Below are 26,558 nucleotides of genomic sequence, written 5' to 3'. Positions count from 1 at the left end.
AATGAAGGCCGTTTTTAATAAAAATAATACCATTTTATCATCTCCTAAATGAAAAATTAACACTCCAGGCCGGGCGCGGTGGCTCACACCTGTAATCCCACCACTTTGGGAGGCCGAGACGGGTGGATCACGAGGTCAGGAGTTGAAGACCAGGCTGGCCAACATGATGCAACCCCGTCTCTACCAAAAATACAAAAATTAGCCAGGCATAGTGCCAGGCACCTGTAATCCCAGCTACTTGAGAGGCTGAGGCAGGAGAATCGCTTCAATCCGGGAGGCAGAGGTTGCAGTGAGCAGAGATCATGCCACTGCACTCCAGCCTGGGCAACAGAGCGAGACTCCATCTCAAAAAAAAAAAAAAAAAGAAAAGAAAAAGAAAAGAAAATTAACACTCCAAATTACTCCTTGAATGTTTCAAGAATGAATACCTGGGCCATCAGCTGTTTCATGTAAGGATGAAAGAGGAAGGAAACAGAAATTTGTGTTAAAAGGAAGCAAGCTGGGGCCAGATGTAAAGAAAGTAAGGGACATACCTGGGCAGGAAGAGAGGAAAAAACATTCTATGAGGAAAGAGGGAGACCGGTACAAAGAAAAAGAGAAAGTAAAATTTTTCTATCTGGGTGAAGCATATTATGAAAACTGGCCAGGTGCTGTGGCTCCTGCCTGTAGTCCTAGAACTTTGGGAGGCCGAGGCAGGAGGATCACTTGAGCCCAGGAGTTTGAGACCAGCCTGGGCAACACAAGGAGACCCCGAGCTACAAAAAAATAAAAAAATTAGCCAGGCATGGTGGTGCACGCCTGTGGTCCCAGCTACTTGGGAGGCTGAGGTGGGAGGATCACTTGAGCCCTGGAGGTTGAGTCTGCAGTGAGCCATGATCATGCCACTGCACTCCAGCCTGGGCAACAGAGTAAGACCCTGTCTCAAAGCAATAATAATAATGATAATGATAATAAAAGTTAAAAATAATATTAAGAAAATAATATCCAAAATTTGGAAATGAGCAGAAGAGATCACTGAGTCTTTTCCATGGAATGCAGGATGCTGTTTAGACCCTCTGGGAATTATCTGATTATGTAGGCGTGTGCATCATAATTTGATTTTTTTTTTTTTGAGAGGGAGTCTTGCTCTGCTGCCCAGGCTGAAGTGCAGTGGTGCGATCTTAGCTCACTGCAACCTCCGCCTCCCCGGTTCAAGTGATCCTCCTGCTTCAGCTTCCCAAGTAGCTGAGATTACAGGCGTGTACCACCATGCCCGGCTAATTTTTGTATTTTTAGTAGAGACAGGAGTTTAACCGTGTTGGCCAGGGTGGTCTCAAACTCCTGGACTCTACAGATCCTCTGGCCTTGGGCTCCCAAAGTGCTGGGATTACAGACGTGAGTCATCGCACCTGGCCTGACTTATTTTCTGTTTATATTTACGTAAGAGACAAGTTTTTAACTTATGAAAATTTTATCTTAACAAGAATTTGTGTAGGAATATAATGATTAGCTAAGAAGCAGGTAAAAAGAGGACCTAGAAGACTTTGGATTCAATAACAATAGGCAACAGGAGAACAACAAAGAGAGCCACCATGCAGTCAACACATAGCCCATTGGGGGTTTGGTTTTTTTTTTGTTTGTTTGTTTGTTTTTGAGACAGAGTCTTGCTCTGTTGCCCAGGCTGGAGTGCAGTGGCACGACCTCGGCTCACTGCAACCTCCGCCTCCCTGGTTCAAGCGATTCTCCTGCCTCAGCCTCCTGAGTAACTGGGATTACAGGTGCCTGCCACGATACCTAGCTAATTTTGTTTTTTGTTTTTTTTTTTTTAGTAGAGATGGGGTTTCGACATGTTGGCCAGGCTGGTCTCAAACTCCTAGGTTCAAGTGGTTCGCCTGCCTTGGCCTCCCAAAGTGTTGGGATTACAGGTGTGAGCCCCCACGCTCAGCCTGTTGGTGTTTTGTTTTGTTTGAGACAGGGTCTCACTCTGTTGCCCAGGCTGGAGTGCAGTGATGCACTCTCGGCTCACTGCAACCTCCACCTCCTGGATTCATGTGATTCTCATGCCTCAGCCTCCTGATTAGCTGGGACCACAGATGCATGCCACAACGCCCTGCTAATTTTTGTATTTTTAGTAGAGACGGGCTTTTACCATGTTGCCCAGACTACTCTCAAACTTCTAAGCTCAACCGATCCTCCCACCGTGGCTTCCCAAAGTGTTGGGATTACAGGTGTGAGCCACTGCACCGGGCCACAAATAGCCCTTTGCATCCATGGGTTCCACATCTGTGGTTTCTGCATCTGTGGATTCAGCCAACCAAGGACTGAAAATATTTAGGGGCAGGCTGGGCATGGTGGCTCACTTTGGGAGGCCAAGGTGGGCAGATCACTTGAGGTCAGGAGTTCGAGACCAGCCTGGCCAATATAGTGAAACCCTGTCTCTACTAAAAATACAAAAATTAGCCGGGCATGGTGGCACACACCTGTAATCGCAGCTACTCGGGAGGCTGAGGCAGGAGAATCCCCTGAACCCAGGAGGCAGAGGTCACACTCTGTGTGACAGAGTGAAAATCCACCTCAAAAAAAAAAAAAAAATTGGGAGGGAAAAAAGGATGGGTGTGTCTGAACTAAACATGTATAGACTTTTTTTCCTTATTATTCCCTAAGTAATAATGTATAATTACTATTTATATAGCAATTGCATTTTATTAAGTATTTTAAGTAATCTGATTTAAAGCATATGGATGTGCATAGATTATATGCAAATACTACATCATTGTATATTAGGGACCTGAGCATCCATGGATTTTGGTGTCCACATGGGGTCCTGGAACCAATTCCCAGAGATACTAAGGGATGACTGTATCCACTCTCTTCTCAGATGAGGAAATGGTGACTGAGCATTTATTATTCTCTAAGTCTGTACTTGTGCCGATGTGGGTGACTATGTAGGTGTCCCCATTTTCACAGCAATATCTGAAGCTGTAAGATTCATAAAGAAGTAGCAGCTTGCCTGTAAAGAAAGCCTGCAGAAGTGGGGAAATCAGTAGAATATGAAAGTTTAGGGAAGAAAGATTCCAGGAGGTGGGAACAACCTATAGTGTAGAATGCTGCAAAAATGTCAAGCAGGATGAGGTTTAAAAAGTGTCCATTCATTTGTTTATTCCATAAGTATTTATTGGCCACTTAGTATATGCCAAAAATGGTATTAGGCATTAGGTACAGTAATAAACAAAGCCAGGCCAAGCGCAGTGGCTCATGCGTGTAATCCTAGCACTTTGGGAGACTGAGGTGGGCAGATCACCTGACGTTAGGAGTTGAGACCAGCCTGACCAACATAGCAAAAGCCCGTCTCTACTAAAAATAGAAAACTTAGCCAGGAGTGGTGGCACATGCCCGTAATCCCAGCTACTTGGGAAGCTGAGACAGAAGAATCACTTGAACCCAGGAGGCAGAGGTTGCAGTGAGCCAAAATCACGCCACTGCACTCCAGCCTGGGTGACAAAGTGAGACTCCATCTCAAAAACATAAAAATAAAAGTAAAGCTGGGCTCGGTGGCTCATGCCTGTAATCCCAGCACTTTGGGAGGCTGAGGCAGGAGGATCACCTGAGGTCAGGAGTTCAAGACCAGCCTGGCCAACATGGTGAAACCCCGTCTCTACAAAAATAAAAAAATTTGCAGGGCATGATGGTAGGTGCCTGTAATCCCAGCCACTAGGGAGGGTGAGGTGGGAGAATTGCTTGAACCCGGGAGGTGGAGGTTGCAGTGAGCTGAGATCACACCATTGCACTCCAGCCTGGGTGACAGAGCAAGACTCTTGTCTCAAAAAAAAATAAGTAAATAAAATATGTTTAAAAATAAAATAAAATATGTTTAAAAAATAAAATAAAATAGGCCGGGTGCAATGGCTCATGCCTGTAATCCCAGCACTTTTGGGAGGCCGAGGCGGGTGGATCACTTGAGGCCAGGAGTTTGAGACCAGCCTGGCCAACGTAGAGAAACCTCGTCTTTACTAAAAATACAAAAATTAGCTTGGCGTGGTGGCACACACCTGTAACCCCAGCTATTCGGGAGGCTGAGGCAGGAGAATCACTTGAACCAAGGAGGTGGAGATTGCAGTGAGCCGAGATCACGCCACTGCACTCCAGCCAAGGAGACAGAGTGAGACACCGTATGCAATGCAATGCAATGCAACAAAACAAAATAAAACAAACAAAATCAAAATTGTCCCTGCTGACATTCAGTATAGTGAAAGAGACACACATTTAATCACTCATTTAAGAAATAAGCTGGATGTGGTGGCTCACACCTGTAATCCTAACATTTTGGGAGGCCAAGATGAGGGGATAGCTTTAGGCCAGGAGTTCAAGAGCAGCCTGGGCAACAAAGCAAGACCCCATCTCTATAAAAAATAAATTAGTGGGCCAGGCACAGTGGCTCACGCCTGTAATCCCAGCACTTTGGGAGGCTGAGGCTGATGGATCACTTGAGGTCAGGAGTTCAAGACCAGCCTGGCCAGCATGGTGAAACCCTGTCTGTACTAAAAATACAAAAAATTAGCCAGGCATGGTGGCAGGGGCCTGTAATCCCAGCTACTTGGGGGGCTGAGGCAGGAGAACGGCTTGAACCCAGGAGTCAGAGGTTGCAGTGAGCCAAGATCACAGCATTGCACTCTAACCTGGGCAACAAGAGCAAAATTCCGTCTCAAAAAAAAAAGAACTAAAAATAAAAATAAATTAGTGGATGCAGTAGTGTGCACCTGTAGTCTCAGCTACTCAGGAGGCTGAAGCTAGAGGATCACTTGAGCCTGGGAGATTGAGGCTGCAGTGACAGTGCCACTGCATTGCAGCCTGGGCAAAAGAGTGGGACCCTGTCTCAAAAAAAAGAAAAAAAAAAGAGAAAGAATTATTAACATTTTAAGACTCCAGTGCCAGTCAAGATGGAGTAGTCCACTATAGGTTATTTCTATTGCTGGTTATAACTAAACACTCTGGAATAAATACAAAAAGCAACTCCCTGTGCACTCTGAAAAGTAAACAAATGCAGAGTCAAACTTGTAGAAAGGGGCCCACATGGGAGTGAGTTTCCGTGTGTGTGTGTGTGTGTGTGTGTGTGTGTGTGTGTGTGTGATCTGAGGATAGGCTACAGTGAGCTGTGGCAGTGCAGTGTGGACAGCTAAAACTCCCAGAGAAGCCCTGTCTGTGTAGATCAAGGAACTCAGAAAATGAGTCCCTGGGTTTCAGAGCTGTAAGGGAGAAATGTCCATTTTTTCCCTGTCTCTCTTGCTGTGGCAGTGGCATGGGCAACTAACCCTCCTTGAGAAGCCCCATCATTCTGGCTCTAGGACAGAGGCAGAAAGTTGAGAAGAATCCCAGAGAGGAGACCTAGAGAAGGGTTTTCCTACTTCTGTGCACGAATAAGCATCTGTCCAGGGCTCATTCCTGAGGTGCATATACACAGAATACCACAAAGCAGCACAGCAAAAGCCTCGAAAACCGAAGAACAACATAAGGCACAAGTCCAAGTCTAACCCCCAAAGGGCACAGATACATGTAGGATGATCTAAAGCAGCACAGGACAGGCTTTGAAAACTGTCTTGACATTGGAATCCACAGGGAGAAAAACGGGCAAGACAGACCTTGCAGTCTCAATCCAACCAGGATGACTGAATGCTGAAAACAGCAACTAAAATCAGCATTCTCTGGAGACTTTAATAGGACCCAGAGAGTCACAAAGGAATATTCAAACTGTTCAGGATACAAACTGGTATTATACAACATACAAAGAGTCATGAAAAAGTGACCATTCTCAAGCGAAAAAGATAATCAACAGATACAAATGCCAAGATGATGGAATTATCAAAGACTTTAAGAAAGCTATTATCATCATGCTCTATAAGATAAAAGTGAACATGGTAAGATATAAGTTCTCAACAGAAGAAAAAAACTATGAAAAAGAACCAAACAGAAAGTTTACAACTGAAAAAATATATCCGAAATAAAAAATTTCACTAGATGGTATCAATAATAGGATAAAGATTACCAATAGAGGAAAGAGTTAGTGAAGGTGGATCAAGAGAAATTGTCCAGGCCAGGCATGGTGGCTCACACCTGTAATTTGGGAGGCCAAGGTGGGTGGATCACCTGAGGTCAGGAGTTTGAGACCAGCCTGGCCAACATAGTGAAACCCCGTCTCTACTAAAAATACAAAAATTAGCCGGGCATGGTGGTGGGTGCCTGTAATCCCAGCTACTCAGAGGCTGAGGCAGGAGAATCACTTGAACGTGGGAGGCGGAGGTTGCAATGAGCCAAGATTGCACCGTTGCACTCCAGCCTGGGCGACAAGAGCGAAACTCCATCTCAAAAAACAAACAAACAACAAAAAAAGACAGAGAGAAATTGTCCAATCTGAAGAACAGAGAAAAACAGATTTAAAAGAAAATGAACAGAGAGCCTCAGGAACATGTGGGGCAATATTAGATGGTCTAATATTCACATAATTGGAGCCCTAGAAGGAGAGGTGTATTCGTTTCCTGTAAATGCTGCACCAAATGATCACAAACTTAGTAGCTGAAAACAACAGAAATTTATTCTTTCACAGTTCTATAGGCCAGAAATCTAAAATTAAAGTGTTGGCAGGGCTGCATTGCCTCTGGAGGCTATAGGGGATAATCCATTCCTTGCCTTCTTCCAGCTTCTGGCAGCTATCAGCATTCCTTGGCTTAAGGCCATATATCTCTCTGCTCCATCTTCGCATGGCTTTCTCCTCTGTGTCTCTATTGCCTCTCTCTTATAAGGACACTTGGGATGGTATTCAGGACCCACCTGAAAAATCCAAGGTAACTGACTCCTCTCAAAATCCTTAATTACATCAGCAAAGACTCTTTTTCCAAATAAAATAATATTTATGAGTTTCAGGAATTAAAACTTGACATCTTTGGGTGGCTATTTATTCAGCCTACTACAACAGAGAGAGATACCTGCAGAAAAAAATACATTACATAGGCCGGGCGTGGTGGCTCACGCCTGTGTAATCCCAGCACTTTGGGAGGACAAGGCAGGCAGATCACAAGGTCAGGAGTTTGAGACAAGCCTGGCCAATATGGTGAAACTCCATCTCTATTAAAAATACGAAAATTAGCCAGGCATGGTGGCACATGCCTGTGGTCCCAGCTGCTCAGGAGGCTGAGGCAGAGGAGTCACGTGAACCCAGGAGGCAGAGGTTGCAGTGAGCTGAGATTGCGCCATTGCACTCCAACCTGGGGAACAGAGCAAGACTCTGTCTCAGGAAAAAAAAAAAAAAAAAAAAAAAAAAAAAGGCGGGGCACCATGGCTCACACCTGTAATCCCAGCACTTTGGGAGGCCGACGTGGGTGGATCACGAGGTGATGAGACCGAGACCATCCTGGCTAACATGGTGAAACCCTGTCTCTACTAAAAATACAAAATATTAGCCAGGCATGGTGGCGGGCGCCTGTAGTCCCAGCTACTCGGGAGGCTGAGGCAGAAGAATTGCGTGAACCCGGGAAGCACAGCTTTCAGTGAGCCGAGATCACCGCCACTGCACTCAAGCCTGGGCAACAGAGCAAGACTCCGTCTCAAAAAGAAAAAGAAAGAAAAAAATACATTACCTATAGGGGAACAATGATTTGACTGTGGATTTCTTATTAGAAACCCTGAAGAGTAGAAACAGTGGAATATCTTTTTTTTTTTTTTAATTGAGATGGAGTCTCGTTCTGTCGTCCAGGCTGAAGTGCAGTGGCGTGATCCCGGCTCACTGCATCCTGGGTTCCAGCAATTCTCCCACCTCTGCCTCCAGAGTAGCTGAGATTACAGGCGCATGCCACCATGCCCGGCTAATTTTCTTATTTTTAGTAGAGATGGAGTTTCACCATGTTGGCCAGGCTGGTCTAGAATTCCTGACCTCAAGTGATCCACCCACCTCGGCCTCCCAAATTGCTGGGGTTACAGGCATGAGCCACTACGCCCAGCCAGGAATATCTTTAATTTGCTAAAACAAACTGTCTACTCAGAATTAGATACCAATGAAAATATCCTTCATTAATGAAGGGAAAACTAAAGATATTCTCAAATGAAGGAAAACTAAGACAATTCATTGGCAGCAAACCTGCACTAACAGAAAATACCGAAGGTGCCCGGCACTGTAGCTCACATCTGTAATCCCAGCAGTTTGGCACTTTGGCACTTTGAGAGGCCGAGGTGGGAGGATCATATATAAAATTATATACTTGGCTGAGTGTGGTGACTCATGCCTGTAATCCCGGCACTTTGGGAGATCAAGGCAGGAGGATTGCTTGAGCCCAAGAGCTCAAGATCAGCCTGGGCAACATAGTGACATCCTATCCCTACAGAAAATTTTAGAACTTAGCTGGGTGTGGCAGTGTGCACATGTAGTCCCAGAAACTTGGGAGGCTGAAGAGGGAGGATCACTTGAGCTTGGGAGTTCAAGGCTGCAGTGAGCCCCAGACTGCACCACTGCACTCCAGTGTGGGTGACAGAGCAAGACTCTGTCTCAAAATAAATTAATCAAATTAAATTAAAGTAATGATATGCTTATATTAGAAAATAAATAAAACCAAATAAATGAAATGAAATTGTATTGAAAATACCAATAAAATGGATAAACTTTTAGCTATACTGACCAAGAAAAAAACAAAGATTACACAGATTACCAATACCAGCAATAAAAGTGCTAATGTCAATACAGAGCCTACAGATGTTAAAAGGCTAATAAGAGAATATTATGAACAACTTTATGCCAATTCCTTCAAGCTGACTTAAGAAGAAGTATATAACCTGAATAATTCTATAGTGAATGCAGAAACTGAAATTTGTAGTTTAAAACCTTTCCATAAAAAAAAATTCTAGGCCAGATGGCCTCACTGGCAAATTCTACCAAAATTTAAGTAAGAAATGATACCAATTCAACACAATTTCTTCTGCAAACAGGAAACATTTTCCAATTCAGGCCAGCATTATCCTGACATCAAGAACAGTTAAAGATATTGTAAGAAAACCAGTATCTCCCACAAACAGGGATGCAAGAATCCTCCACAAAATATTAGTAAAATGAATGCAATATATAAAAAGGTTAATACACTACAACTCAGTGGGGTTTATCCTTGAAATGCAAGGCTGGCTTAACATTTAAAAATCAATTGATAGGCTGGGTGCAGTGGCTCATGCCTGTAATCCCAGCATTTTGGGAGGCCGAGGTGGGTGGATTACCTGAGGTCAGAAGTTCGAGACCAGCCTGGCCAACATGGTGAAACCCCACCTCTACTAAAAATACAAAAATTAGCCAGGCGTGGTGGCACATGCCTGTAATCCCAGCTACTTGGGAGGCTGAGGCATGAGAATCGCTTGAACCTGGGAGGCAGAGATTGCAGTGAGCCAAGATCGCACCACTCACTCCAGCCTGGGCCAACAGAGGGAGACTCTGTCTCCAAAAAAAAGAGAAAAGAAAATTTCACCATATCAACAGGCTAAATAAGAAAAATTGTGTGATTTTTTAATAAAGGCAGAAGAAGATTTGTCAAAATTCAATATCTACTTATGATAAAAATTCTTAGCAGACTAGGAGAAGAAGGGAATTTATTTACTTGACCTGATAGATGACACATACAAAAAAAACTAGAGGCTGGGCACGGTGGCTCACACTTGTAATTCCAGCACTTTGGGAGGCCAAGGCAGGCGGATCACCTGAGGTCAGGAGTTCCAGACCAGCCTGGCCAACATGGTGAAACCCCATCTCTACTAAAAATACAAAATTAGCCAGGTGTGGTTGCGGACACCTGTAATCCCAGCTACTGGGGAGGCTGCGGCAGGAGAATCACTTGAAACTGGGAGATGGAAATTGCAGTGAGCTGAGATCACACCAATGCACTCTAGCCTGGGCGACAAAGCGAGACTCCATCTCAAAAAAAAGAAACAAACGGCCCAGGTGCGGTGGCTCACGCCTGTAATCCTAGCACTTTGGGAGGCCAAGGCGGGTGGATCCACTCTGTCAGGAGTTTGAGACCAGCCTGGCCAACATGGAGAAACCCCGTCTCTACTAAAAATACAAAAAAATTAGCAGGGCGTGGTGGCAGCCGCCTGTAATCCCAGCTACTCAGGAGGCTGAGGCAGGAGAATCGCTAGAACCCTGCGGGCGAAGGTTGCAGTGAGCTGGGAAGGCGCCACTGCACTCCAGCCTGGACGACAGAGTGAGACTCTGTCTCACAAAAAAAAAAAAGGAAACAAACAAATGAGCAAAACTTACAGCTGACATACTTAATGGTAAAAAGGCTGAATGTATTCCCCTTAAAATCAGGAGCATGGCACGGATGTCTACTGTCACCATTCCTATTTAATTTATTAATAACATCACATTGGCAGTTACAGTTAATACAATAAAGCAAGAAATAAAAAGAATAGGCATCAGAAAGGAAGAAGCTGTTTCTATTTGTAGACAACACTGTCTACAAAGAATCTACAAAAAAAAAAGGCTCTGAAAACGCATAAATGAGAAATGGGCAAAGTTTTCACAGCCACAGCTTTTACTTCAAATTTTCCATCTCCAGATCCTTATATCACATTGCCAACTGGGTATCTTCACCTGTATGTTTCCCAGGAACTCCTAAGACTCAGTATTTCCAAGCCAAAATTACAGATATCTCTCCAAACTTGGTCTTTCAAAAAAATTCCCTATTCATCTGGTAATGCCACCAATTTACTTATTCTAATATAGCTTCCCAATATTGATGTATCCATCTATCCATGCTAAAAAATGAAGATTTGTCTTAGACTATTCCTCTTACCTGCCCTATATACTTGGTCAGTTAGGCTATCAGTTAATCTTGTTATGAAACCAACTGCTCCAAACCTAGAGGCTGAAAAGAAAATAATCTATAGGCTGGGTGCAGTGGCTCATGCCTGTAATCCCAGCACTTTGGGAGGCCAAGGCAGGCATATCACAAGGTCAGGAGTTGGAGACCAGCCTGGCTAATATGGTGAAACCCCGTCTCTACTAAAAACACAAAAATTAGCCAGGCATGGTGGCAGGCACCTGTAGTCCCAGCTACTTGGGAGGCTGAGGTAGGAGAATAGCTTGAACCCAGAAGGCAGAGGTTGCAGTGAGCCAAGATCATGCCACTGCACTCCAGCCTGGGTGACAGAACGAGATTCCATCTAATAAAAAAAGAAAGAAAGAAAGAAAGAAAAGAATCTATATTTCCTATAATTCTAGGTATAGACTGGCTCATTCTAGGATGGCCTCACACATATGTTTGGGGCTTCAACTGAGAATGCTGAGACAACCAGGAAGGCTGGGAGAGCTAGGGACACTCTCAAAGTGGTCTCATCTTCTAGGAGGCTAGCTTGATTTAATCAAATTGTGGCAAAGGGGTACCAGCAGTAAGAGTGTGAATCCCAATGCGGAAGAATTTTTCAAGTCTCTGCTAACATTACAATTGCTGTTGTCCCAAGGGCCAAAGCAAATCACTTAAATCAGTCTGTGAGGAGACTACCCAAGGGTATGGACATGGGTAGGTGTGAAAAATTGGTGTGGGTAGTGGAGGGGCCACAGAGCTTAACTGCAGCAATCTAGGACACTTAACCCTATTGATTCTATTTCATAACCTCTCCAATCTCCTTCTTCTTGAATCCCACTTCACTGACAAGTTCAAGACCTCATCTTGTACCTGAACTACTTATAATAGTCTCCTAATGGAACTTGCACTGCTACTATTAGCATATGAATTCTGAAAAAAGAAATCCAGTCACACAATTCTGTTGCTTAAAACTCAGTAGCTTCCCTTTAGAATAAACTACTAAGTGAGGCCCACAAAGTCATTTTCTAGCTTCTACTTATGTGACTTATCTCTTACTACTCTATGCACCCTACTCTTCCAAATATGAAAAACAGTCCTTAAATGACCATGGTATTTCAATACCACCATTTTCCATATAATGTTTCTATCTGCAATGCCCTATTACTGCTTGTGCCCTGGTAAATATCAACTTATTCTTAAGATTTCATCCAGGATGCTGAGGCACTAGAATCACTTGAACTCAGGAGGCAGAGGTTGCAGTGAGCCAAGATTGCGCCGCTCTACTCCAGCCTGGGCACCAGAGCAAAACTCCATCTCAAAAAAAAAAAAAAATTAAGATTTCATCTTAAATATCACAAATTTAATACAAGATTTATTGCCTGACAAAGTTAAATGCTTCTACCTTTTGCTTCCATTGCATCTCACAGAACCTTCAATATAGTGTTTTCTCCAAAATACTGTAATTATTTGTTTGCAGGTCTAACCATTTCAGTCACCATGAGACGGAAACATTTTTTTTTTTTTGAGATGGATTCTTGCTCTGTCACCCAGGATGGAGTGCAGTGGCATGATATTGGCTCACTGCAACATTTGCCTCTGGGGTTCAAGCAATTCTCCTGCCTCAGCCTCCTGAGTAGCTGGTTTACAGGCGTGCGCCACCATGCCTGGCTAATTTTTGTATTTTTAGTAGAGACGAGGTTCCGCCATGTTGGCCAGGCCAGTCTTGAACTCCTGACTTCAGGTGATACACCTGCCTCACCCTCCCTAAGTGCTGGGATTACAGGCGTGAGCCACCATGCTCGGCCCTAATTTTTATATTTTTAGCAGAAATGGAGTTTCACCATGTTGGCCAGGCTGGTCTTGAACTGCTGACCTCAAGTGATCTACCCACTTTGGCCTCCCAAAGTGCTGAGATTACAGGTGTGAGCCATGGTGCCTGGCCCATTATTATGTCTCTCTCTCCAACATCTAGTACTATTCTTAACATTCAGTAAGTACGTGGCAAATGCTTTTTGAATTAACCAATTAAAATTAAAATGTCTATTTCCAACAGTCCAGATGCCAGTGGAAAGAAAATTTATCAGATAACAGCCTGTCACCAGGTCAAATCTTCTTATCAATTCAGTACTTTCTTTCTTCAAATATGTCACATTTCAGTTAAGTTACTTGGGTGAAATGCAGCTCCAGGTGCACTAATAAACATCCAGTATGGACTAATATACCTTCAGTGTTGAGTATGTTAAAAGGAGAATCTTTTTTTTTTTTTTTTTGAGACAGGACCTCATTCTGTCGCCCAGACTGCAGCAATAATGGCTCCTTGCAGCCTTGACCTCCCACCTCAGCCTCCTGAGTAACTGGGACTACAAGCCCTTGCCACCATACCCGGCTAATTTTAACATTTTTTTTCTAGAGACAGGTTCTCTGTATGTTGCCCAGGGTGCTCTGGACCTCCTGGGCTCAAGCGATCTTTTCACCTCAGCCTCCCAAAGTGCTAGGATTACAGGAATGAACCACAGTGTCTGGCCAAGATGAGAATTTAAACATTACATTTGGTATTCTAAATTTACAAATGTACCAAACGTACCAAAATTATCAGTGTACTAATACATACCGTGCTCCATTGTGGCTGTGGCTGAATTATGTGGTATTCTTTTTCTTTTTCCTGTTTCCTAAGTTTTCACACATTTTTAAGTTTAAAAATATCCACGACTGCCGGGCGCAGTGGCTCACGCCTGTAATCCCAGCACTTTGGGAGGCCGAGGCGGGCGGATCACGAGGTCAGGAGATCGAGACCATCCTGGATAACACGGTGAAACTTCGTCTCTACTAAAAAAATACAAAAAAATTAGCCGGGCGTGGTGGCAGGTGCCTGTAGTCCCATCTACTCGGGAGGCTGAGGCAGGAGAAGGGGGTGAACCCGGGAGGCGGAGTTTGCAGTGAGCCGAGATCGCGCCACTGCACTCCAGCCTGGGCGACAGAGCAAGACTCCGTCTCAAAAAAAAAAAGAAAGAGAGAGAGAGAGAGAGAGAGAAAGAAAGAAATCCACGACATAGTTGAAATGTTAGAATACTTACACAAATCTCCTCGGAAAATTCACTATAGTCTGGAGCCTGGCGCTCACCCTTACTGACCCAGAAATCTGTCAGAAAGATTTAAATTAGTAAGCATAGAGAGACTTAAGTACGCCTTCCACCACCGCTGCCCACCCCACCCCCACCAAAAAAGAAAGCCAATGCGTTTTTTTTTTGAGACGGGGGATCCCTCTCTGTCGCCCAGGCTGGAGTGCATAGGCACGATTTCAGCTCACTGCAACTTCCGCCTCCCAGGTTCAAGAGATTCTCCTGCCTCAGCCTCCCGAGTAGCTGGGATTACAGGCACCCGCCACCAAGCCCGGCTGATTTTTGTATTTTTGTATTTTCAGTAGAGACAGGGTTTCGCCATGTTGGCCAGGCTGGTCTCAAACTCCTGGCCGCTTTTTTTTTTTTTTGGTAGCAGATGTTCCCTAAAAGATCATTTGTGTAGGGCAGCAGAGCTTTGGCAGTAAGAGAGAAGGGAGGAGTCCAGTGATAAATAACCTGAAAATTCATCTGCTGTGATTATTTGCTACTCCTTTAGTGAATAAAGGATACTCAGGGAGGAATATCCTGCCGGTATTTAACTGCCTGTTTACTTAGAATATTTTCTGCTATTTGATTTTTTAGGAGACAGAGCCCTGAAGCAAAGACATGTGGGTCAGAGAAAAAGTATTTAAGGGCCACGCAAGCCAATCGTAGCCAACTGCGCAGTCCTCCAGGAACTGAAAGCAGTGAGGATGCCTCAGCCCCTCACTGTGTCCACACAAGATTGACAGAAGAAGGTTCTTGTCTTCATTCTGGAGATGTTCATATCCAGATAAATGCCATATCTAAAGAATGTGCGGAAAATACAAGCTCCAGAAATATAAGGTCAGATGTCCATAGCTGTGCCCATGGATGGGTACACAGTCACTTACAGGGTCACTCCCACAGTGAAGCAAGGCTGCCTGATGATACTGCCGCAGAATCTGGAGATCACGGTAGTAGCTCTTCAAGTGGTTGCAAAAAAGTCTTCCACATATTTTGATTCTGAGTGTCAAACTTGTTATGCAGCATATAACAGGTAGGGCATAATAAAACATTGACTTGTTTTCATTCTGAAAATCAGTTAATTTTCTTTATTGGTAGTCTACTTAATGCATTCAGTTACTTATTTTTTGTTAGCTTTTATTATTGTATATGTTTACTTTTAATTTGTGTCATTGTTAGCTTATATAATCCTCTTTGATTTTTTTTTCTTTCAATTAACTGGAACTTATTTTCTAACAGGAATTTCTCTTGGAATTGGGCTGCTAACAACTTTTATGTATGCAAACAAAAGCACTGTAAATCAGGTTTTTCTAAGCAAGTATAACAAGCAACTAAAAAATTATTAACTGTTTCTCTCCATAGATTTTAGACAAATAATTTTGAGAGAAATAGGAAATAACTTTTGAAAAAAATAGGAAGTAATGGGATATATTGTAACTTCCATGATATATTAAATTTGTTATCTAAATCCTGGAATAAATTATTTCTCCTAATGCTGAATTCCTTCACCTTACCTTCTTTGTAAGAAAAAAAAAAATTGGTTACTGTTAAAGAAAAAGTAGTAAAAAGGATTAAAAGAGTTAGAACACGCTATTCGATCTGATTTGGCAAGTCCCTTCATGTTATATGAGTTACTTTGATGATACTAAGTAATATCATCATCGTTAACAACTTTTAGTGGCCGGACATAGTGGCTCACACCTGTAATCCCAGCACTTTGAGAGGCCGAGGCAGGCAGATCACAAGGTCAGGAGATCGAGACCATCCTGGCTAACACGGTGAAACCCCATCTCTACTAAAAATACAAAAAATTACCCAGGCGTGGTGGCACGTGCCTATATTCCCAGCTACTTAGGAGGCTGAGGCAGGAGAATTGCTTGAACCTGGGAGGCGGAGGTTGCAGTGAGCTGAGATCGCACCACTGCACTCCAGCCTGGGATACAGACTGAGACTCCGTCTCAAAAAAAAAAAAAAAAAAAAAAAAAAAGAAAAGAAAAAAGAAAGACCTGTGCCAAGCCCAGTGGCTCATGCCTGTAATCCCAACACTTTGGGAGACCCAGGCGGGTGGATCACCTGAGGTCAGAAGTTTGAGACCAGCCTGGCCAATGTGGTGAAACCCCGTCTCTACTAAAAACACAAAAATTAGCTGTGCGTGGTGGCGCTTGCCTGTAGTCCCAGCTACTTGGGAGGCTGAGGCAGAAGAATTGCTTGAACCCAGGAGGCAGAGGTTGCAGTGAGCCAAGATCGTGCCATTGCACTCCAGCCTGGTGACAGAGTGAGACCTCATCTCAAAAAAAAAGAAAAGAAAATTAAACCCAAGGAATTTTTCCATAAGTTACTCAAGCCCTAGTCATATAAATCATTGGGAAAAAATAGGATGAGTTTCTAAAATTTCACCTTAAGGCAACTTTAAATGGCTATGTCTGTGTAAAGTATCATGCATTCTGACCTGGAAATCTATAGTTCAGCCTATCAAACTAGAAAAATCTTAATGATTTAAAATTAGTAAAACTTTTCATTTAACTTGACTTTAAAAGTGAGATTACAGGCAAGGCACAGTGTCTCATGCCTGTAATGCAGCACTTTGGGAGGCTGAGATGGGCAGATTGCTTGAGCCTAGGAATTGAAGACCAGCCTGGACAACATGGCAAAACCCCATCTCTACAAAAAATCAAAAAATTAGTGGGCGTGGTGGCACATGCCTGTAATCTCTGTTATCTAGGAGGCTGAGGTGGGAGGATTGCCTGAGCCCAGGTGGTCAGGGCTGCAGTGAGTTGTGATCATGCCACTGCACTCCAGTCTGGGTGAAAGAGTGAGACCCTGTGTCACAAAAAAAAAAAAAAAAAAAAAGAGATTACAATTACTTGGGAAGCTGAGTTGGGAAGAAGGCTTGAGCCTAGGAGTTCTGGGCAATGTGTCAAGAAGCCATATTAAAAAAAAAGTAAGATTAAAACAGATTAATTTATTAAATTGTTATAATCTGAGAATTTTAAAAATATAAACCTTGACGAGTCAAGGTTAAAATGCATTTTGAAATTTTCTTTTGTGGGTGGGTCCATTTTTTTTCTGAGATGGAGTTTCGCTCTGTCGCCCAGGCTGGAGTGCAGTGGCGTGATCTTGGCTCACTACAACCTCTGCCTCCTGCGTTCAAGCGATTCTCATGCCTCAGCCTCCTGGGTAGCTGGTATCATATGCGCGTGCCATGGCACCTGGCTAACTTTTGTATTTTTTTTTAGTAGAGATGGGTTTCACCATGTTGGGTAGGCTGGTCACAAACTCCTGACCTCAAGCGATCCGCCGACCTCGGCCTCCCAAAGTGCTGGGATTGCAGGTGTGAGCCACTGCGCCCGTCCTGGGTGAGTCCTTTATGTCAGCTTGTAGAGGACCTGGCTTTTTTTTTTTTTTTTAATTTAATTTTCTTGTTTTTTTTTTTTTTTTGAGAGAAGATTTGGCTTCTTTGAAACATAGGTAATGTTTTTCATACGGTGAAGAAACTTGTGTTTTAAACATTTGTTTAATATAATAGTTCTGTTTGGTCACTAAAGTTGTATAAAACAAAGTAACTGATGATTATGTACAGTTTAACAGATATTCTATATTAAGATTTAGAAAAATGTTCTAAGTTAATAGTCATTAAAGTAAAACAGTTTAATGATATTTAAAATTCTGGCAAAATCAAAGTAACATTATAAAATTGTTTACCTTTCAGGAAAGGTCCTCAAAGATTCAGTGTGCTTGGTTACTGGTATTCTTAGCAGGATCTTCTGTTCTTTTATATTACACCTTTCATTCTCAGTCACTTTATTACAGGTAATTAGAGGTCCAAATACACAATTACATTTTTAATGTAATCATGTTTCATAGCACTTTGTACCTTACTTCACATAGTACTTATTGTATTCAATCAGTTCAGTTTTTAACTGTCTCCTTTCATAAGCGAGAGCTTTTTTTTTTTTTTTTTTTTTGACATGGAGTCTCACTCTGTCGCCCAGCATGGAGTGCAGTGTCTCGATCTTGGCTGTCTGCAACCTCTGCCTCTCGGGTTCAAGCAATTCTCCCATCTAAGCCTCCTGAGTAGCTGGGATTACAGGTGCACACCTGGCAAATTTTTGTATTTTTAGTAGAAATGGGGTTTCACCATGTTGGTCAGACTGGTCTTGAAGTCCTGACCTCATGATCCACCTGCCTTGACCTCCCAAAGTTCTGGGATTACAGGTGTGAGCCACTGCACCCGGCCTCATAAGCAAGAGCTTTACGTAACTTATTCAGATTTTGTATCCCCAGTGCTTTGGCACATAGCAGATGCTCAATAAATATTTAATTTTTGATACCTGAGTTTTTGTTTATATATTCCATAATTTTTAAGTACCATTAGGTTGTTATTGTTGGTCTTTTTTTCTGAAAGTAAGAACACTTACTAAATGACAGTAGCTGATAAGTTTCCATGTCAAATGGGAGTATTCTGAATCTTCAGCTTTTACCAGAATATTAGAAGACCAGATTTCACTGGAGTTGGAGAGATGGGCAAATCTGGGATATAGTTTGGAGGTGGAGCCAGTATCCCTCAGATGGACTGGATTGGGTAGGTGGGTGGAGAGAAGCAAGAATGACCTCTGGGTTTTTAGTCTAAGCAACTGGAGAAAAATCAATAATTTTGTTTTGAACATGTTAAGTTTGAGAGGCTAAGTAGAATTGGTAAGAAAGTGGTTCCAAATATATGTCATGAACTCAGGGTAGAGGTTAGGGCTATAAATTTTGGTATCAGGAGCACATGGTTGATATTTAAAAACCACAGGACTGGGGCCAGGCGCGGTGGCTCAAGCCTGTAATCCCAGCACTTTGGGAGGCCGAGTTGGGTGAATCACGAGGTCAGGTTATCAAGACCATCCTGGCTAACATGGTGAAACCCCGTCTCTACTAAAAATACAAAAAAATTAGCTGGGCATGGTGGTGGGCACCTGTAGTCCCAGCTACTCGGGAGGCTGAGGCAGGAGAATGGCATGAACCCGGGAGGCAGAGCTTGCAGTGAGCCGATACCGTGCCACTGCACTCCAGCCTGGGTGACAGAGCAAGACTCTGTCTCAAAAAAAAAAAAAAAAAAAACCCACAGGACTGGACAAAACTAACCCAGGAAAGAGAGAGTGCAGATAGAGAGCCCAGTACGGGACATGACCACAATTAGAAGAGAAACAGCAAAGGAGACTAAGAAGAAATCAGCAGTGAAATATGAGAAATAGACGACTGTTGTGTTAAAAGTCTAGAAAGAAAATTATTCAGGGAGGGAAGACGGAAAAAGAGAAGTGACCTTGAAATTTAGCCATACAGAGGGAGTTGATGATCTTGACAAGCAATTCACTGAAAGGAAGAGATGGAATCCTGATTGGAATTGGTGAAGAAAAACATGGGAGATGTCTGGTATTGATGAGTTTTTTTTTGTTTACAGGCTAGAAAGGTGTCAACTATGACAAACTGTGAAGACTTTTTCCTTATTCTATGAAGGGAAGATCTAAATTCCAAACATTTTAAAAATCTCTTTAAAATAAGCAAAATGATCCTCCATTCCATTAATGTGAACTCTGACATCCTGCCAAATTCATATTTTTTACATATCAAAATAAAATATTTGTAGCAAATTAAAACTCTTTCTTAATACTTTACCTTTGTATGTTGCTCTGGTAAATTTTGATGATTTTCTTTTGGTGGCTGAATTTTTTTATATCCTATTTTGGACCATTTGAGCTTCTGGGAAGTACTTTGGATTATTGGAATTACAGACTTCATTCTGAAATTCTTTTTCATGAGCTTAAAATGCCTTATCTTATTGGTGCCTTCTTTCATCATGCCTTTTAAATCTAAGGTAAGAAACTAACTTATGCTTTATTGCAGTGATGTTAACTAATCACATTAATGCTATTTAGTCTTTGTTTAAATGAATCCTCCTTTTGCAATTTTTCAGTTTGCTAACTAGCTTTAATTATCTGTATTATTTCAGCCTGGCAACCATTTGTTCAAGCACTTGAACCTGAATATTAACCTATTTGGATAAAATCAGAATTATATTTGCTTCAGAATAATTTTAAAATCAGTCCCCACATCATATATGGGAAACTATTTAGATTGGTACTTCTGTTGTCCAGGGCATTATCAATTGACAGTTGACTATATACAATTATTCAGTGGTTTCCCATATGCAATAAAAACTTTAAAATTTTTATAACCAGCAAAAACATATATAGGTTTTACTTGCAGTATACATAAAACATTTTCACTATATCTTTTTTTTTTTTTTTTTTTTTTTTTGAGACCAAGTCTCGCTCTGTCGCCCAGGCTGGAGTGCAGTGGTGTGATCTTGGCTCATTGCAACCTCCACCTCCTGGGTTCAAGCTATTCTCCTGCCTCAGCCTCCCAAGTAGCTGGGATTACAGGTGCCCACCACCAAACCCAGCTAATTTTTGTATTTTTAGTAGAGACGGGGTTTCACCATGTTGGCCAGGCTGGTCTCAAACTCCTGACCTCAGGTGATCCACCCGCCTCAACCTCCTGAAGTGCTGGGAGCCACCGCATCCAGCCTAGAAATTCTTTCAAAGCAGCCCACTCAGTGACTGTAATATGTGAGAACCAGCTTGAGGTTCAGTCGTAATCATTATGAAGATTAATTTTATAGTTATTTATATTATTGTATCATATACTCAGTGTTCTCAGTCTAGTATTGTTTGTGCTATGTAGTTAGGTAGTTTGGGTAGCTCTATTTGTTTTCTTTTTCCTTATTTTTTAGGGTTACTGGTATATGCTTTTAGAAGAATTGTATCAATACTACCGAACTTTTGTTCCCATACTAGTTTGGTTTCACTACCTTATAAGCTATGGGGAGTTTGGTAATGTAACTAGACGGAGTCTTAGGATATTGCTGGCTTTACTTTACCTCGTACTAAAAGTAGGTAACATTACAAATCTTGTCACTGCATGATTCATATTAATGATTACTGATACATACTACTATTTTCCTCTTTCACAGTTTTATAGTTTATCTTTGTATCACTAGTTTGAAGTAATAGCAGGTTCTATATTTATTTAGAAATAGAGAAACAGAAATAGACTATCTTAATCCAGCGGTTTCAGTTTTCATTGGAGGGAAGGGGAGTAGACCTTCACATAGCATGGATTATCTAAGTAGGGAAAACAACTGGAATAGAACATACCCATCCTCAATAGTAACACTGTCATATACATAATTCTTAAACTAGTAGAGTATCTTGTCCTGTTCTCTCCATGCCTGCGCCCCTCAACCTAATAATCACTTTATGAAACTTTAAAATGTAAATGTTAAAAACGTGTGAATCAGATAAAATTGCTTTGACTTTGACATAGTTACATTTGTATTTGTCTTGATCAAATTGTTACTCTAGGCATTTAAATGTACTTCAGCCTGATTGAGATGGCTCAAATCTATAAATTGAATAAAATATTCAGCACAAAATGATTAGTTGTGACATATAATGAGCATTAAGTTAATATAAGGATTTGATGTTATGGGATTTCAGCTTTGGTTTTTGGGTTTAGCAGATAGGACTGTTTGAATTAATAAATGATCTCTTATTTCCCTTTTCAGCTTTTGGAATTTTTTGGGCATCTGAGAACTTTCAGACAGGTTTTACGAATATTTTTTACATGACCAGTTAAGTACTTTTTATCAGGTAAGAAAAACACCTTCACCTTTCTTCATTGCAAAAAGTTTTTTAGTTCAGCAGTTTTACAAGAATGGATTTCATAAATAGATGATCCTTTTCTTTTACTTTGACTGTTTTCTAGTACTTTGGCACTTGGGGCTATAATAATTTAGGAGTTTTATCTCTATGATCAGATTCTTGAATCACACATTGACAACCACCTGCTAATTGTTGCAGTACTTATATATTTGAACTTGTTTCTTGCCCCTTCAATCCATTTGACATTTTTAAGGACTTATAAACCCTTAAAAATCTTATGAACTTTTGTTCCTCTTTTTTAATTCACAAATGGGGCTTTGTGTGTTCCTATTAACTCCTTATTCACCTGTGAAAATCCTTCCACTGTAATTTATTTTGTATGTTTAGAAAGCTCATTGCCAAAAATCATGTCTCTTGAAGTTTTCTTACTGGAGCAAATTTCCCCATTGCTCGATTTTATGTGCACAAGTAAGTTCATGGCATGAAATTTAACAATTAATTGAGACTGTGGTGTCATTTATAACATTATTATGTGATTCTATTGATGTTGCAAATTGCAGTGAAAGGATGTCATAGAGAACCCTAATTTACTATTTAGTAGCCTGAAAGGTTCCCAGTACCTACGTGTGGTCACCAGATTTCGGGGTTTGATTCTCAACTTTGCAGTCATTTCATCAGGGCTCAAGGAGACTGACTTAAAAGAATGCCAACCGAATAATATAAAATAAAAATAAAAAAAGGATTATGTCTACAAAGTAAACCAGACTAACCAGCCAGGGCATCTTTTCCCTAAGATAGAGTTAGCAATGTAGAAACAAACTTTGCTACATCCTATGCAAGCTTCTTTCACTAGACAAGACATAATAAAATTCTGAGAGTTCAGCTTTGTCCAAGTCAATTCAACTGATGATTATGTGAGCATCAACCATTTTACTATAATTGGTCTTGTAAGATTTGTGCCAAAATACTCTCAAGAAAATACCCTGATATTCTTTCTCTGAGACAAACTATAGAGAGGATATCAGTCATCAATACTTTGACTTGTTCAAGTCTCCTTTACCAGGGAAATGGCAGTTACTCTCTGGAGAGGGAGTCTCCAAGATGCCAGATGAGTAATGTCTTAAAAGCTTGTCAGCATAATTATCTGCAAATGTACTTTGCTAAATGACACCTTACTGAAGGGAAATTGACACCAAGATCATCTAACAGTATCCTGACTTGTTTCTGAAATCTTTATCACCAGTCTCAAAAAACCTTAATTTTTAATATCTTTATCCTTTGAGTTTTACTTTGATTTTGATGTTGTTAGCCTGAGACGTTTTAGTACAAGAAGTTTAGATAACTCTTTACCCTCATGACCGTGACTGAACTTGGGTGTTCTTACATCTCTTTAGTTGCCTCTTCCCCATCATTTCTACAGAAAGAAGGTTTCATTTGTAACATTTTGATTTCTCCAAATTTCACTGAGGGTTATTAACATCACATCTAGTTAATGATTAAGTTCTGAATCTGGTGAGGAAGTTAAAATCTTAGAGACCAGAAACTTGTTATTAGGACATTCGAAGAGAAGAAAATTCAAATAATTGCATTTTTGTTCAGTTCGTTTTGACAGTAGTTATTCTACCCAAGCGATATTTACAATTGCAGTTTCTCTGTAACACTTTATCATTCATTTTTAGCACTAAATGCTTTTTATAATTTGGAATAATAATTTTTAGACCTAGTGGCAGAACACTCTTCAGTGGTCCCTAAGTCTTCTTCATATTGCACTCACTTGGAGACCTTTCAAATAATAGATTACTGGGTCACATCCCAGTATGTCTGGTCCTACAGAATCAATATTGTGTGGAACAGAGAAATCTATTTTTAAAGCAAGCTTTCCACATGAGTTACATTCAGCCAGCCAAGCTCTGGCTGGATCGACTTTATGAACCACTGCTGTAGGTAATAAGTTAGCTCAATTTGGCAGTCCTGGGTCAAATAATACATGGCTATAGATTTTATAATAGTTACATTTCAGACTGCTTAGTCTCTTAAGCCAGTTATGTTGAATTTGAAGCACTATCATCCTTTGTAAAGCTAGTAGATCTAACAATCTTCCAAAATCCTGTGATGTATTATTTAATGATTTCATCTTGGTGCACTCGAGAGGTGGTTCTGTATATGTGGTTCAGCTTTGAAATGTTTGTATCCTTTGGGAAGGTTTTTAAATGCCTGGTTCCAGGGAGATTGGAGAAGTACGGTATCACTTATGTAATTAGAGGAATAGGAAAGAAAGAAATTTGTAGATTAACAGAACTTACTATCTTCATAGAGTTATGGAGTGGCTGCCAGCAAGAGACAGTGTTCAGATGTGGATGGTACTTGTTCAATATGTCAAGCTGAATTTCAGAAGCCAATTCTTCTCATCTGTCAGGTAATTATATTTTTAAATTTAAAAACCTAAATGCAACACTTCTCTGTGACTTGCAAAAGTCACATTTATGTTTGTTGTAAGGCAAAAAAAAAAAAAAAAGTCTAGTGTTTAGTGTAAGGTAGCATTCAGGGTACATACTAGTAATTTATTCATGATCAGGGGATTGGTGGATTGGCTAAGTTTTGTCCCTTATGTTCTGATGATTTTTATGCAGAGGAGTATATGAATGGGGAAAAAATAATTCAACTGGCAGATTGAATACCAAAGTGATTAAAAAACAGGCAATTTTTATAATTGGATACTAGTCATTTAGAACAATACTGACATTTGTTACTGGATTGTGGCCCTTTCCTATACTTTATGGCAGTTACTAGTAACTCAAAGACTTTAAGCTGTTATCATACTTAATCTTAAAGGTGTCACCTAAGGATCGCTTTTATGGTTAAATGGATGGTACAGTCAGAACACTAGTGGCTCTACCAATCATACTGCTCTTTGTCTTCTTGAATGTCTCATACGTTCTCCATTTTCACAATTGTAAAATGAGGGGATTAGTGCTCTTCAAAATCCCTTTCAGGCCGGATGCAGTGGCTCACGCCTGTAATCCCAGCACTTTGGGAGGCTGAGGTGGGTGCATCACCTGAGGTCGGGAGTTCAAGACCAGCCTGACCAACACGGTGAAACCCTGTCTCTACTAAAAATACAAAAACTAGCTGGGCATGGTAGTGGCAGTCACCTGTAACCCCGGCAACTTGGGAGGCTTAGGCAGGAGAATCGCTTGAACCCCGGGGGGCGGAGGTTGCAGTGAGTCGAGATGGCGCCATTGCACTCCGGCCTGGGTGGACAGAGCAAGTCTTCAGTCTCCATCTCAAAAAAAAAAAAAAAAAATCCCTTTCATTCCCTACAGTGTGATGGACTTAAAATGATTATCAAGTATAAAATTTAATTCTTAATTCCATTACAGCATATATATATGCATATACATAGCATATATATAATTATATATGTGTATATATATATATATATGTATAATTTTTTTTTTTTTTTTTTGAGACGGAGCCTTGCTCTGTCGCCCAGGCTGGAGTGCAGTGGCGCAATCTCGGCTCACTGCAAGCTCTGCCTCCCGGGTTCATGCCATTCTCCTGCCTCAGCCTCCCAAGTAGCTGGGACCACAGGCGCCCGCCACCATGCCCAGCTAATGTTTCTTTGCATTTTTAGTAGAGATGGGGTTTCACTGTGTTAGCCAGGATGGTCTCGATCTCCTGACCTCGTGATCCACCTGCCTCGGCCTCTCAAAGTGCTGGGATTACAGGCGTGAGCTACCGTGCCCGGCTTTTTTTTTTTTTTTTTTTTTTTTTTTTTTTGAGATGGGGTCTTGCTCTGTGCCCAGGCTGGAGTGCAGTGGCGTGATCTCGGCTCACTGCAAGCTCCGCCTCCTGGGTTCACGCCATTCTCCTACCTCAGCCTCCCGAGTAGCTTGGACTACAGGCGCCCACCACCACGCCCAGCTAATTTTTTTGTAGTTTTAGTAGAGACGGGGTTTCACCACGTTAGCCAGGATGGTCTCGATTTCCTGACCTCGTGATCCGCCCGCCTCCGCCTCCCAAAGTGCTGGGATTACAGGCGTGAGCCACCGCGCCCAGCCCATTACAGCATATATTTTGTGAAGAGTGCATTACCTTATGGTTTAACAGAGAGAAAACATGTCCACTCTGCAGAGCTGTGATTTCAGACCATATAAACAAATGGAAAGATGGAGCCACTTCATCACACCTTCAAAATTATTAAGTTGTATAAACTATTAAGGCCACAAAATACTAATGTCATTTGGTCATAATGACTACCGATAAGGCATCAGAATGGATTTTCGGGGCTACCAGAAAAATGTTTCCAGATGGTTTTAGAATGTAAGACTTAACGGTCCAATTCACCAAAAGATTAAATGAAACCACCCTGTGTTTTAAAATATATATAATGTTCAACCTAATGTATATGCAACATTCTATTCTAATTATTTGACAGGTAACTGCAGTGTTAAATTGTAAATGTGTTTTCTTAATATTACCAAAACAGCAATTTGAAACTAGAACTAGTGGTTTTAGAGAACTCAGGTATTCTTTCCAGCATTGTTTTCAGAATAAAGAATATTTTTCATAATATTTTAAGATACATACTATCTAAAAGTAGAATTCTGCTTTCAGCATTGACTTTTTAATTCCCATCCTAAAAATTCTTAATATTTTCATAAAATTTGTATTTTTAAATGAAAGTTCTAAATGTTATATTTTATCAGTAACAGATTTTCTAAGTGAAGATTAATTTACCGAGGATGATACATTTTAATATTGTATTATTCTCTGTAGTATGACTAGTAATCAGTGAAAATAAATGATTTAAATTCATTTTGTCTGTGGACCTCATAAATTCTTCCTGCCATCAGCTTTAATGTTCATGATCATGCTTTTTGTGTAGTACCATGGAGTATCTTGAGGTAACTATTAAAATAATTCATGTGGATTATAAA

The 26,558-nt window shown here is 41.2% G+C and overlaps 1 pseudogene; it reads left to right on the top strand.

Annotated features, from left to right (window-relative positions):
* On the top strand, positions 14,508–26,558 carry RNFT1P3 (ring finger protein, transmembrane 1 pseudogene 3; annotated as a pseudogene).

Source organism: Homo sapiens, chromosome 17 (genome assembly GCF_000001405.40).
Source record: "Homo sapiens chromosome 17, GRCh38.p14 Primary Assembly".
NCBI classification, from domain to species: domain Eukaryota; kingdom Metazoa; phylum Chordata; class Mammalia; order Primates; family Hominidae; genus Homo; species Homo sapiens.
This window is presented reverse-complemented; position numbering and strand designations above follow the sequence as displayed.